The sequence below is a fragment of the Homo sapiens genome, chromosome 15 (assembly GCF_000001405.40).
Source record: "Homo sapiens chromosome 15, GRCh38.p14 Primary Assembly".
In the NCBI taxonomy this organism is placed as follows: domain Eukaryota; kingdom Metazoa; phylum Chordata; class Mammalia; order Primates; family Hominidae; genus Homo; species Homo sapiens.
In genome coordinates, this window is record NC_000015.10 from 99980784 (window position 1) to 99994295 (window position 13512).

At 51.2% G+C, this 13512-nt stretch overlaps 1 protein-coding gene across 11 annotated transcripts in view, besides 4 other annotated features; it reads right to left on the reverse strand.

Moving 5' to 3' along the window:
• ADAMTS17 (ADAM metallopeptidase with thrombospondin type 1 motif 17) overlaps positions 1 to 13512 on the reverse strand; it is a 370539-nt gene that overhangs the window by 9347 nt on the left and 347680 nt on the right. For 10 of the 11 annotated variants that reach the window (NM_139057.4, XM_005254872.4, XM_011521312.3 and 7 more), the window contains one exon: positions 12265 to 12417. In NM_139057.4, coding sequence (NP_620688.2) covers positions 12265 to 12417 — 153 coding nt within the window. Of the gene's footprint in view, positions 1 to 11726; positions 12078 to 12264; positions 12418 to 13512 lie in introns of those variants that run through there. The other variant, XM_017021974.2, reaches the window with a different exon arrangement.
• Positions 910 to 1888: an enhancer, noted in NCBI's record as "H3K27ac-H3K4me1 hESC enhancer chr15:100521898-100522876 (GRCh37/hg19 assembly coordinates)". NCBI's record gives its function as "activates a minimal SCP1, AML or CMV promoter by ChIP-STARR-seq in naive H9 embryonic stem cells {active_cell/tissue: H9 hESC(naive)}" and the evidence as "EXISTENCE:reporter gene assay evidence [ECO:0000049][PMID:30033119]".
• Positions 2867 to 3844: an enhancer, noted in NCBI's record as "H3K27ac-H3K4me1 hESC enhancer chr15:100523855-100524832 (GRCh37/hg19 assembly coordinates)". NCBI's record gives its function as "activates a minimal SCP1, AML or CMV promoter by ChIP-STARR-seq in naive H9 embryonic stem cells {active_cell/tissue: H9 hESC(naive)}" and the evidence as "EXISTENCE:reporter gene assay evidence [ECO:0000049][PMID:30033119]".
• Positions 11461 to 11975: an enhancer, noted in NCBI's record as "H3K4me1 hESC enhancer chr15:100532449-100532963 (GRCh37/hg19 assembly coordinates)". NCBI's record gives its function as "activates a minimal SCP1, AML or CMV promoter by ChIP-STARR-seq in naive H9 embryonic stem cells {active_cell/tissue: H9 hESC(naive)}" and the evidence as "EXISTENCE:reporter gene assay evidence [ECO:0000049][PMID:30033119]".
• Positions 11976 to 12489: an enhancer, noted in NCBI's record as "H3K4me1 hESC enhancer chr15:100532964-100533477 (GRCh37/hg19 assembly coordinates)". NCBI's record gives its function as "activates a minimal SCP1, AML or CMV promoter by ChIP-STARR-seq in naive H9 embryonic stem cells {active_cell/tissue: H9 hESC(naive)}" and the evidence as "EXISTENCE:reporter gene assay evidence [ECO:0000049][PMID:30033119]".

Below are 13512 nucleotides of genomic sequence, written 5' to 3' on the forward strand. Positions count from 1 at the left end.
CTGCCTGGAAATGATCAATGACCATCGTAAAACTCAGGCATTTGAGGTGACCTTGCAGACGTGTCCCCTCTGAAAGGTCTTAGTCTTGTGCAGCCTGCTCTGGGGCCGAGGGGAAAAGGCTGACATGTGGCACGTCTCCAGCATATGCAGATGGTATGCCTGCTCTTCCCAGTGGACCCCTCGTAGGCCTCCACGGCAGCACGGAACGTTCCACAACAATCCTCAGGGCTGATGCCGGCCACTGAGGTTGGCACGGGTCCACGTCTTGCTCAAAGTTGCAGAGGTAGGAGTGGCGAGTGGTCCAGGGACCCCATCTCATGGAATGAATTCCACCCTCCTATGTGAATAAGAGGTTGTACTGAATGGAGCTTTAATCGGAAGCGGGAATCAAAGAACCAGGTCACTGCCCATCTCCACCATTTACTCATTATCTTTCCTAGCATGGGTCACTGGCTTTTAATTTTCCAGTCTATAAATAGAACTGCTCCATGAGATCATGGAAGGGTGTCTCCAAAGTCCTTCAACAGGGACAGGTGTCTGTTCTCACTGTTCACTAGTGCCCCCATGAGGCAGGGCCAGGTGTGAGGCAGTTCTGAGGGCAGGTGGTCCCAAGGGCTCTGCCCCTTGTAGGCATTTTACTCTCATCAGAATTAGGGTTTGCTTAATTCTAGCTGGAGTCCTAGTGGGCACTGTTCACACAGCTGTGGGCTATGAGTGGCTCTGACTCACCTGGGAGAATTTTTGAGAATTTTGGGGTGTTTGCTTAACTGCCTGGAGCTGTGTCTGGGCCAGCCCCCTAGAGGATGCTTCCATGTGTTAGGTGAGAAGACAAGTTACAAAGTGGCATGTACAGAAACCACCCCGTTTTTGTTTAATATAGATGTGTGTATACCTATGTAACAGTTTGGAAGACAAACCGTTATAAAAATTTACCATGTCATCATATGGTTTCTGGGACTAATTTTCCTTTTAGTGTGTTCTATAGTAAGAGCTACTTATATAATTAAAAATAAAACTGGAGAATTCTGCCAATGAGTCTGGTGTAACCTGCTGGTGGCCCACCATCCTAACCAGCTGCATTTTCATTTGAGCTGAGGTGCTGCCAGGCCTGCCCTGGCCTAAAATCCACAGGTAATATACTCTCCTAAAGCAGAGTTTTGATGGAGAGGCCATGCAGTGCGGGGTGTCAGGCGGCAGGGGGAAGGGGTGCCTGTTGGCATGCTACGTCCCCACTTACTAGCTGTGTGACCTCAGGCAAATGACTTAACCTCTCTGAGCCTCAGTTTATTTGCAGCATGAGGATAACAAACTCTTGTTTGTAGAATTGTTTCCTGCAGTAGAGGCAGTGTGGAATAGGAGCCTAGCCGGGGGTCTCAGATAGAGTGGAGCTCCACAAATCCTGCTGTTATTATTCTCAACAGTGAATGCACGGCCAAGCGCCACAGCGAGCTGGGCAGGGAGCTCCTGCAGCCCAGCAAGGCACACTGCGTCACCTGGCCCACTCCCTTAGCACTCCTTGGGCTGCCCTTCGGTCACCAGGCCCTCCACAGGCAGGTGCACACAGCCCTGTCTGCCTGGCTCCCTGAGTTGATCAGGCAGCCAGACCTCAGGGAGCACAATTAGAGGCTGTTTTGGCCCTGAAGACAAACATGATTCCAGACAGGTCTGAAGGGGCTGCTGTTGAACGACACCCTCGTAACCTGAGCTGGGCCATGGTGGGCGCACGGGGTGAATTCCTTCTCTGTCGGCCTCCCCTAAGGCTTCAACGTTAATTGAACAGTGAGGAGACTGTAGTGTCTCCTGATAGCATCGAATTTGCCCCAAGCATTGCTGTGAAGCCATTTTTCAGGCTTTAATCATCCAAGCAAACAGATCTATAAAAAACATATCTGGTCTTGTTTGGTCCTTTTGTCAAGGGGCTCATCACATCCAATTTCATGTGGCTTCCCAAGATGCAGGTAACTGAGAGAAATGGGGGCAGCAATAAATTTAGCTGAAAAGCTCCTTGCCGGGAAACCTGAAGTGAGTGGAGCCCCCTCCCCAGCAGGTGCCCACAGCTGTGCGTCGGAGCTGGCTGCCCGGTGGAGAGGCAGCCTCTGCATCTGTCCACCACCCTTCCCAGGCAGGGAGGGGGTGTCACTGGAAAAAACAGGAACAAAATTGTTGATGCACAAAGGGCAAAAAGAGGTTCAATTTGGATTTACTCATGTGCTTTTTTTGTGTGCAAATTATTTCATGAAGTTACTGTGTAAAAGAGATTTTCCTTTAGGTAGAGTTTCCGGCAAAAAGAGAAAAGGTGTTAGGTTCCCCAGACCAGCGTGATACTGAGACATTGTGCAAGCGTTACTAGCTTCTTTAATAATAACAGTAACGGCAGTCACCGTCGCAGCAGGGCCCACCACCTGCCTGTCTGCTGTGTACGGGGGACCGGGCTTACGTACGAGCTTGTTAATCCTCACACTGACAGCTGCCGTGGCCAGAGCTCAGAACACAGTAGGTGCTCAATAAGTGGTGTCTGCTGGGGATGCGGCGCCACCTTTCAGAGAGGCAGAATGTGAGGTTTCAGAGCGTCCATGTAAGTCTTCCCAAGCCACACAGCTAGCCTGCCCCTGCCCCCCACCTGCCCGTACCACCCCCAACAGGGGAGGAACCAGGTCTCCATCACCCCTACCCTGATGACATCCTTCCCCACAGCGGGATTCCCTTCCCCTAGCTTCTCCCAGCTGTAAAATCACAACTGTAAATAACACCAGATCCCAACAGGATGTTTTGAGAATTAGCGAGAGGAGGCTGTAAAGCTCTCAGGAAGAGGAAAACACTCCAGGAATGTCAACTATACACGCCTGGGCTCTGCTTCCTGCAGAGTGGCCCAGGCAGGGCTGCCCCCCACTGTCTCCCCGCACTGGGTCTGGGGTGAGCACAAGCCCAAGATGGGGTGAAATCATGCAAGGCTGAACTCTCAAAGCACAATGAATCCACCCCCGTCCCCACTGAGTGAGTCTCTGAGGGGCCAGCCTGCCTCAGGCTGGTTTTGGATAGCAAAGAAAGAGACTGACGGAATCCTGACAGTAACTGCAGTTTCTACTGAAAAGGTGCTTGGCTGGTGAAATGTCAAAGCTCTTCAAAAGCATTTTGAGCAGGTTTCTCCCCGAGACTTGGCATGAGCGAGGAAAACCTCGGAAGCGGTTGAAACCTGAAACAGCAGAGTGTTAGACAACAGTGAAAACACCCACTCCCTGTGCCGTCGCTGGGAAACAGGAAATGCTTCCCAGACACCCCCTCCCACGCCCCCTGCGACGCCTGCTTTCTTCCCGGCAGTCTCAGCTTCAGGGGTCCCTCCTTCCTCTGAATTCGCGGCCTGCTGACCTGCATATTGTGGCTGGGACCTTCTAGCCAGGGAACCAGGAGGCTGAGGTGACCCCCGATGGCCTGCAGGGGCCGGGTCGCCTCCAGAGCTCTTGGGGACTGAAGCGCAGAGGAGACTGCGGGCAGCTCTCATCCTCTTTCCTGGGGCTGGAGCTGTTCCCTGTGGGTAACTTTGCTTCCCACCATCCACTGCAAAAGCTGCAGTGAGACAGCTGCCCCACGCCATGCCGCCATCACGTGTGGGTACCCAACCACGGAACGCACCATTTATGGGGACTGAAGCACACTCGAGGGACTGTTCTTCGAACACGTGAACACTTTACAGGCCCATATAAGAAATGAGATTCTGATGAGAGAAGAGGCTGATGACTGCCCCAGATGGTGATTGTGAAAATAACGATGATCAAAAGCCCCTACTGGGCATTTCCCCTGTGCCAGCACTGGGGTGAATGCTATGCTTGGATGCCATTCACTCCTCAATCAGCCCTATGAGGGCTACCCCTAAACTCATCTGATGGCGGATGATGCCCACACAAGGTGAGATGGGGACAGCAGTAGGGCTGGGTTGTGAACCTGTGTTGTCTTAACCACCTGCCCTGCTCTGAGGTCAATGACAAAAAAGCACTCCTTAGGGATGATGTCTTCTGACTTACCAGCCACATGCAGGCAGTGATTAGAACCTAGACTGTGGTGGAGACGGGGCATGGGATGACCAGGCTTCCCCGCTCTCTGATCTCTCACTCCCTGCAAAGGCGGCTGGTTTGACAAGGGACACTGAGCAAATGGAGGGACGGCAGGGGACCCAGGAGATGGAGGCACTGGCCTTTGGACCATTCGGCATGGCCCTGCGGCCCGCCTCACTTCCCCGCGGCCACCCCTCCTGGCAATTTCCTGGGACCTCGCTGCTCTTCAGCAAGCTCACTGCTCTCATGTGAGCATGGCCCAGGTCTCGGACTTCTCTCTGTAAAGCACGGATGGCCCAGCGGCGGGCTCTGTGGACTCACACACAGTGTTCCACACCAAAGAAGTGTCTGTCCCCGCTCCTTTTTGCCCCTGCCCAGAAAAGCACTGAATTTTGGTCACTGCCTTTCACGGGCTGCTCACATTCCTGGGAGTGATGGTGAATGGAGGATCTGCCTCTCTTGATCTGGATGCAGAGTGCTGGCTGCTGCCATGGCACAGTTTCATGTGTCCCAGAAAAGGGCCCCAGGGTCCCCAGTGCCTTGTGCACTTGATTTTTGATGGTCAAATATTCTTCAATAAGGACTCAACTTTTACTTTCACAATTAAGGGGAGGCTAAACATGCAGGATCTCCTAGAGAGATAAGAGATTTACACTAAAGTGTAAACGACTGACTCAAAGCCTTTGGGGGAGCAGATTGTGATGGACGTCATGGGCTGGGGAGAGAGCAGACAGATACTTGACTTAATAACGACCACATGAGCATCTTAGAGCTCAGCTCCTTCTTGTTTCAAATTCGGAATCTAAGCCTCTGACATGATCTTGCACTTGAAGCCAAGGTGGATTACCAGCTCTGCCATTTTCTAGTTGTATGACTGTGAAGAAAGCCATATCACCACTCTGAACCTCAGCTTGCTCATCTGTAAAATGGGGACAGATGGGTGAGGGTCCAATGAGATACCCTGAGGGAACGTGCTTTGTAAATTCTAAAGCAACGGCAAATGTCACGGGCCAATATCACTGATCCCAATAAAAGTAGTCTTACCCTCTACCTGCACCCACCCCCAGCTGTGGCTCCCCAGGCAGGGGCTGTCTGGATCCCACAGTGCTGACTTCATACCTGCCCAGTGGGACTCAGCATGGGCCACTATAGCCAGCTCCTTGTCTGTCTCCCTTTAGGCCAAGTCACTGTCCACTCTTGTACCACCAGCACAGGGTCTGGCATAGAACAGTAACTCCAGAAATGCCGGCTGAACTGAAGTGGCTTGGCCACATGCCCACAGCAAGTGGGGGCCACAGCCAGGCAGGCAGGCCTTGCAGGGTGGGGCAGGGGGGTTCAGGCCCCACCAAAGCAAGTGCAGGCCTCAGAGATGGTGTGTCCACATTGAAAACTGTCTGTAACTACCCTCTCGCGTGATACAAGGTTCGTTCATTGTTAAGGTCATGGAACTCAAGCCTGTATCTCCTTGCCTAGAACACAGAAAGGCATCTAACAGCTGGGTTTCTGGGGAGCACACAGACATAGCAAAATACACATGAACTTGACCTCAGACTGATTCTCCCTGACTTCCTCCTAGGGCTCAGAGCACACAGATCCTTGAACATGTATTGCATCATTTGATTCGAAAGGCCTCTGAGGCACTGCTATCTCCACATCACACACAGAAAGAAGGCTGGCTTGGGCTGTCAGGGTGCTCAGAGGCCTTGCAAGTCAGATCAGCCCCTTCCACTGGCACCAGGGGGTCAACGATCACTTTCTTCTTTTCAGTATAAGGGAACACTGTTCTCTTCCCTTGGTCTGTTAAGTCATGGTTTTCTTTAAAAACATCATCCATTATAATCCCTCCAGAATGTGTTTTTCATTGGAAACATCCCATCATTTCAGTGGTGATTAATGCTCAGAAATCATGCTATCTAGAAAGAAAGGAGATTTCCTCCTCCCCAATTTTAAGGGCCCGCCACCCCCAGAGTGGAATACATAGACCCGGCATTCAGTGGGTGAAAACAACGATCAGCATTGTTTTCTGGAAAGAGCTACTATCCCGGGTGGGAAGGCAGCTGCAGGTCATTTTTCAAACATACCAGAGTGATAGGAGTGCCCTAGGCAGAGATGGGAACGTGATGTGTGTCCCTCATACACGACCCTGGTTAGGGTTTGGCTGCTGGCCAAGGTCAGGATGAGGGCTAGGGGCAGGGAGAGAGGGGCTCCATCTTCCCTAGGGGCCTGCCCACCTCCCCAAGGCTCTGAGTGGCAGGAGTGCTCAGCCATGCCTGGGCGTCCTCCCCCAGCTAGCACCTGCAGCATGCTCTTGGACTGGCCCATTCCTCACCTCCTTGGAAACAGTCTCATCTTTCTCAACAGCACCTTGGGGTGAAGTGAGAGGAGACTGCTTGGATGGGGATATCGAAGCTTCCATCTGCTGGAAGATTGCCCCTTTAAGCTCCCTCTACTGCAACACAGTGAGCGGAACACCTGCTTAGCATGCTGCTGCTGCTGCTGCTGCTGCGGTGTTTGCCTCCCAAGACCTCGAAACTGGACAACTGGTTACATTAACAACCTTCCACAACTACAGTGATACACGGATAGTGTTCAGCCTTCTCTCTGCTTTCCTTTTGGGCACTTTGTCTGCTGCCTTCAAATGCCAGCACATGATGAGGTTTGGTGGCTGGTTACAGGAAGGAAGCCCTGGGTGACTGGTTTAAAAAGGCAGTGGAACCCATGGGTGCAACCATGGCACCATCTGCAAGCTGGACAGCAAAGATGACACATAAACCATACGGCAAACGTAAACAGTCCGAATCAGACAAAAACGCTCGGGAAGCCTCATCCCATGGAATCTAATTAGAGAGGTCTGGTCTCCAGGGAGTAAGGACATGGGGTCCCCACCACCACCCTAGGGAAATGTATTCTTCCCACTTCTCCAGAGAAGGCAGAGAGGGAAAACGGGCAAGTTTCTCTATCTGGGGAGAGGGTAGTGAGGGGCAGGTGGTGGTGGTGGGGAGGTGCCCAGCCCCCAACTCTCCTGGGTGATGGCAGCAGGAGGGTGGGTGGTGAGGTCCACAGTTGGGGTCGGGGTCTCTTGGTTCATGTCTATGCAGCCCCCACTGGCATGCTCCTGGTACACCATACACACACATGGTGCCAACTCCAGTTTAATGTCCCTGCAGGCCCTCTCTGCTTGGTAAAACCAACCTTCCCCCAGCTCAGCCTCAGGCTCAGGCTCTGGCTGGGGGCCCTTGCTAAGACCTCTCCATAACAGCTCGGTGCACACAATGGGATGCCATCTGATGCCAGCTCCAGACAGTGGCTGATACAGTTTGGGTGTTTGTCCCACCAAATCTCATGCCGAAATGTGTCCCCCAACGTTGGAGGTGGGGCCTGGTGGGAGGTGTCTGGGTCACGGGCACGAGTCCCTCAGGAATGCCTTGATGTCCTTCCCACGGTCATGAGTGGGTTCTTGCTCTGTTAGTTCACCAAGAGCTGGTTGTTTAAAAAAGTCTGGGGCCTCTGCCCTCTCTCTCCCTCTTTCACCATATGACATGCCAGCTCCACCTTCTACTGCAAGTAAAAGCCTCCTGAGGCCTCCCCAGAAGCAGATGCCAGCATGGTGCTTCCTATACAGTCTGCAGAACCATGAGCCAAATAAACCTCTTTATCAATGATCCAGTCTCAGGCATTCCTTCACAGCAATGCAAAGTAGATTAATATAGCAACCAAGATGTCACAGAGGCCCTCACATCCCACAAATCCCTTTTGTTCTTACTGCAGGGACAGCTTGTCAAACGGGCTGTGGCAAAAGTGGGCACAGTGACTCCAATACCTCACTCTTCTGAAAGCCTGGAAGTGTTCTTCACAGCATGGCTGGTGAAGAGAGGACGGCCAGGCAAAAGGCTCCATCTTACCTGACAGGCATTCCCGGAAGGCTGAAGGTCCTGTCTGGGGAAACCTGCACAGTGTCCTTGGCCAGGGAGGGACCCCAAACAGCAGAGGAGGGAAGGCTCATGGGCTGAGTGAGCCACGTGATGCATGAGCACCAGGTCTTGGGCAGGGCTGCTGAGTGTCCCACATGTTATTCCCATTCATGTTTTGGTTGTTTTGCAGCTCCTTGTACCAGGAAGGTCAAGGTATGTACAAAAGCAAAAGTGTCCAGCGAGTCCTCAGAACAGGAATGGTGATGCTGAGGACAGCCAGGCCTTGGAGCCCAAAGACCATCTACAGGACGCCCCTTAGCTCTCCTACCCAATCCCTTCTTGCTTGGTTTCCACCAAGTAGCCTGAGCACTGAACTGGGTCCAGGAGCTTGGACTCTGCCGGGGGGTGTGGGCGAGTCACGGAACTGCTCTGAGCCTCTGTTCCCTCTTCTGTGCAGCAGGGGTGACAACCTTGGCTGGAGGGGACCAGTGACATGACGCACAGGGGTACCCCACAAAAAGGAAAGCAGTGCTAGGTGCCCCGACCCCAGATGGGCAGATGTGGCCCAAGCCTAGAACTGACCACTTCTTGCCTCCACTCCTGCCCCGGACCCCTGTGGGCACAGGCGCCAACAATAGTACAGGCTGCATTTAGGGCGTGACCGCTAGGACCCTTCCAATTCCCTGATGACAATGACAGCTTTATTCCAGTTCACATCTGAACACTCAGTGTCCAAACAATGCTACCCTGCCTGTTACTGTGCTGGGCAGCTTCCCCTTCTACACCTTCTGGACTCTCCGTAACCATGCAGGCATGAGGTAATCATCAGTTCTTCAGATGATCCCGAACATCTGCCAGTGTGTTACTTATGGATCAGAACCTGGTCTGTTGGTAGCTCACCTACAGTCTTTGGGCTAGGATCAGTGACCGTTTTCAAGCTAGGTCTGGATGTGCTTGGACAGAGAATTTCTCAGTGTTGTCTATAAAAGGCCAGAAGCCCTACTGATAAGACAAGGTGAGGTCAGATCAGAATGGGTTATAACCCTGGGGACTGTGCCCCAGAACCGTGTGAACATTGGGTGGTGGATTTTGGGCAATGAAATGAAATGGGTTTAGTTGTCCAAGTACTTAGACATATATATTAGCATCTTGAAACCTCTAAGCATCTCTGAGAAACAGGCAGGGTCAGTGTTTATGATTCCCATTTCAGAGATAAAGAGAGGTTAAGGCACACAAGTAGAGAGTCAGAGCTGTAAATCAGCCCCTTAATGTCTCTATTGTGTGAGTTCAAGTTCTCATGGTTCGAAGTGCATCTTTCTTTTCGCTCTCTTGACTGAGCTGGAGTGCAGTGGTGCAATAATGGCTCACTGTAGCTTCGACTTCCCTGGCTCAAGTGATCCTCCCGCCTCAGCCTCCTAAGGAGCTAAGACTATGGGCATGTGCCACCACGCCCAGCTATTTTTTTGATTTTTTTTTGTAGAGACAGGGTATCCCTATGTTTCCCAGGCTGGTCTGGAACTTCTGGGCTCAAGCAATCCTGCCTTGGCCTCCCAAAGTGCTGGGACTACAGGTGTGAGCCACCACGCCCAGCCAAAGCACACATATCTTTTGTGGGAGCTCTGAAGTTAAGTTTCTCTGCCAGTGAAAGATACATCCTGGCAGCTCCATACTAAGCTTTATTAACATCCAAGTAACTGTGTGACGTCCCTGTTTGGTTTTGGGGAAACTGGACTGACAGCCTCAGTTCTATTGCCTTGGTCAGATGTTTTGACCAGGGAGTAAATAGGAAGGAGGTGTTTTAGGTCCTTCTCAAATTCACTGTTAATCCAGAATAATAGGGTACCTTAGCACTACCAGGCAAACTGGGAATTGGGAAATTTGGCTTTTTTTTTTTTTTTACTCAAAGGGTTTGGGGAACTTTGTGTTCTGACTTGGGCTGATGGGAAGGTGGTAGCATTTCTGCAGGGATCAGATTCTGATAAATTTTGCCTTCCAATGGAAAACCCATTTTTCCTTCCGTAAAGCACAGGCAGAAGCAAAATTACCTGCCTGAGCCATGTTGCCACATTTTCATAGCGAAGCCAAAACCTAAATTTTCAAATGAAATTTCAGAAATAATGCCACACATCTACAACCATCTGATCTTTGACAACCCTGACAAAAACAAGCAATGGGGAAAGGATTCCCTATTTAATACCCGGTGTTGGGAAAACTGGCTAGCCATGTGTAGAAAACTGAAACTGGACCCTTTCCTTACACCTTGTACAAAAATTAACTCAAGATGGATTAAAGACTTAAACCTAAGACCTAAAACCATGAAAACCCTAGAAGAAAACCTAGGCAATACCACTCAGGACATAGGCATGGTCAAAGACTTTGTGACTAAAACACCAAAAGCAATGGCAGCAAAAGCCAGAACTGACAAATGGGATCTAATTAAACTAAAGAGCTTCTGCACAGCAAAAGAAACTAGCATCAGAGTGAACAGGCAACCTACAGAATGGGAAAAAATTTTGCAATCTATCCATCTGACCAAAGGCTAATATCCAGAATCTACAAAGAACTTAAACAAATTTACAAGAAAAAACCAAACAACCCCATCAAAAAGTGGGTGAAGGATATGAACAGACACTTCTCAAAAGAAGACATTTATGCAGCCAATAAACATATGAAAAAAAGCTCATCATCACTGGTCATTAGAGAAATGCAAATCAAAACCACAATGAGATACCATCTCACGCCAGTTAGAATGGTGATCATTAAAAAGTCAGGAAACAACAGATGCTGGAGAGGATGTGGAAAAATAGGAATGCTTTTACACTGTTCATGGGGAATGTAAATTAGTTCAACCATTGTGAAAGACAGTGTGGCGATTCCTCAAGGATCTAGAACCAGAAATACCATTTGACCCAGCAATCCCTTTACTGAATATATACCCAAAGGATTATAAACCATTCCACTATAAAGACACATGCACACATACGTTTACTGCGGCACTGTTGACAATAGCAAAGACTTGGAACCAACCCAAATATCCATCAATGATAGACTGGATAAAGAAAATGTGGCACATATATACCACGGAATACTATGCAGCCACAAAAAAGGATGAGTTCATGTCCTTTGCAGGGACATGGATGAAGCTGGAAACCATCATTCTCAGCAAACTAACACAGGAACAGAAAATCAAACACTGCATGTTCTTACTCATAAGTGGGAGGTGAGCAATGAGAACATATGGACACAGGGAGGGGAACATCACACACCAGGGACTGTCGTAGGGTGGGGGGCTAGGGGAAGCAGTACATTAGGACAAATACCTAATGCATCTGGGGCTTAAAACCTAGATGATGGGTTGATGGGCGCAGCAAACCACCATGACACATGTATACCTGTGTAACAAACCTGCACTTTCTGCACATGTACCTCAGAACTTAAAAAAAAAATGCTAGCCACTAATTCCAACATGTTTAAGATATTCTGCAGGCTGAGCAAAAACCAATGGCTCTAGGTCAGCAGTTGGCAATCTTTGAGGGAAGAGCTATCAGGAGAAGCAAGCAGGAGTTTTTCAGTTGCTAAGACCATACAGAAGGACAAACACGGTCTATGCTTACAGGAGGAGTGGTACAGATTTTGTGAGAAGAGTCTAGAAAACCCACTAGAAGGTTCTTACAGGTGGCAGTGGGGCTCACCTTGGTCCCCAGAAAACAGGAATCATTCAAATATATCAGATGAATGAATAAAAGAGGAGTTAAACAACAAAGCATTTTCTTACCTGGAGAAACATTCAGTGGCCCTTTATTCACCCTTGCTCTCGGGAGTGCTGACCCGGCGGTTCTGTGATACTCCTCCCTGCTACCACCCCATGGCCCCCTGCCCTGTCTGTCCCTGCATCTCCAGGCCCTTGCCCAGGGGTCCCGGGAGTGAATGGAAGTGATGTTTGCCCCAAGTGTCCCCATGGCAGGAGGCTGGGGCCTGCCAGCACACCGCACAGCATGGCAAGCCTGGCATCCAGGGCACCCGCGTCCTGCCTTGGGCTGCGTTTCGGGTTCCTTCTGCATGCACGTGAAGCAGTGGGGTTCTCCCAGTGAGCCCCAAGGGGCAGTGCTGGTGCAGCCTGTGGGAGAAGCAGGGGAGGAAGCACACGGGGTCTTGGGTAGTTGCAGCGGGTGGAAGGAAAATGAATTTGCCTAGTTACGCTGGGACTGCCGCGTAGAATTGGGACCCGTCACAAGAGCTGAGTTCCCGACCCTCGAGCCCCCTGCACTGCGGCACGGAGAGAAATGCCAGCAGGCTGCTCTCACCGTAGACCAGTCCCCAGTTTTCCACTCGTAGCAGCCTGAGTAGTCCTCGCAGGCCTCCTCGGCTCTCGGCCTCGTGGATGCGTCGCATTTCCCTTGTGAGTTGGTGCACGCCACGGTCCGTTTCCACACCCCTTTACCACAGCTGGCAGAGCACTGCAAGACACCATTCAAATATTTAACCGAGTTCCAATTCGATTCAAGTCCATCAACAGCTATTAACTCCCTCCAATGTGCCAGGTGCGGTGTGGGGATGATACAAAGATGAAAACCCACACTTCTGTCCTCAAAAAGCTCCTGGTCTGCAGGGTCTTACGCACGTGGTCCCAGCTGGGGCCCCAGCCGAGTGGCCAGTGTTGTGGAAGGGACCTAGGAATCAGGAGTGGGAAGAACCTGGGGTACTCATAAGGTCACATGAGGGGAGTGGAATTCAGTGGCCACTTGTCGGGTCCAAAAGCTCAAGGCAATACGTGAGCTCGAAGGGCAGGTGTGTGATGGAGCCATGAGTGGGGCAGGGAACAGGGGCCAGCCGGAGCAAGGTGAGGCCCTAAAGCTGAGTCCCAGGCCCCAGATCTTTCCAGCTGGCCTCCAGGTGCACATGCTGTGCTTGGACCAGCCTGGGACAAACTCCTCGATCCAGCCGGGAGAAGGAGGAGGAGGCGGCAGAAGGAAGGAAAAGCCACAGATGACTTTCTCGTGAGGCAGGTGGAAAGCCTTTGCAGAGAGCTCCAGTGAATGTCTGAATGCAGACACCAAGAATGGTGACAGACGCATGGCCCCTGTGGTAGTTTACTTACTTGCAGGAGACCTGGCAAGGGGCAGTGGGGATGGGACCTGGGCAGGGCCTGGGGGTGATGAATGATGTGCCTGCCCTCAAGAGTTCAGGATTCCCAGCAGCAAGAAGGAGCGAAGAGGCAGGGGGCATGACAGGGTGTCAACACAGCAGACAGGCACTCTGGAGTGCGTCTGGAGCCTGCTCCTGACACGCCCACCACAGAACTTGGGGAGGGACGGTGCCCGGGCTGGCAGGAGAACTTACCATCTCCAAAAGCAAAGCAGAAGGAAGCCCAGGCCGAGCTGACCCACAGCCTCGGGAAGACAAAACTCACAAACAAGTTGGCCCTGGGAGCCCTGTCCCTGACACAGGCGTAAACATATAACTTGGAAAGATGGTGTGCAGGAGGCTGCAGTCTGCTAAGGCGGTTTCATACTTGCTCAGTTTACCACAAATATGGCAGGCGACAGCACTGA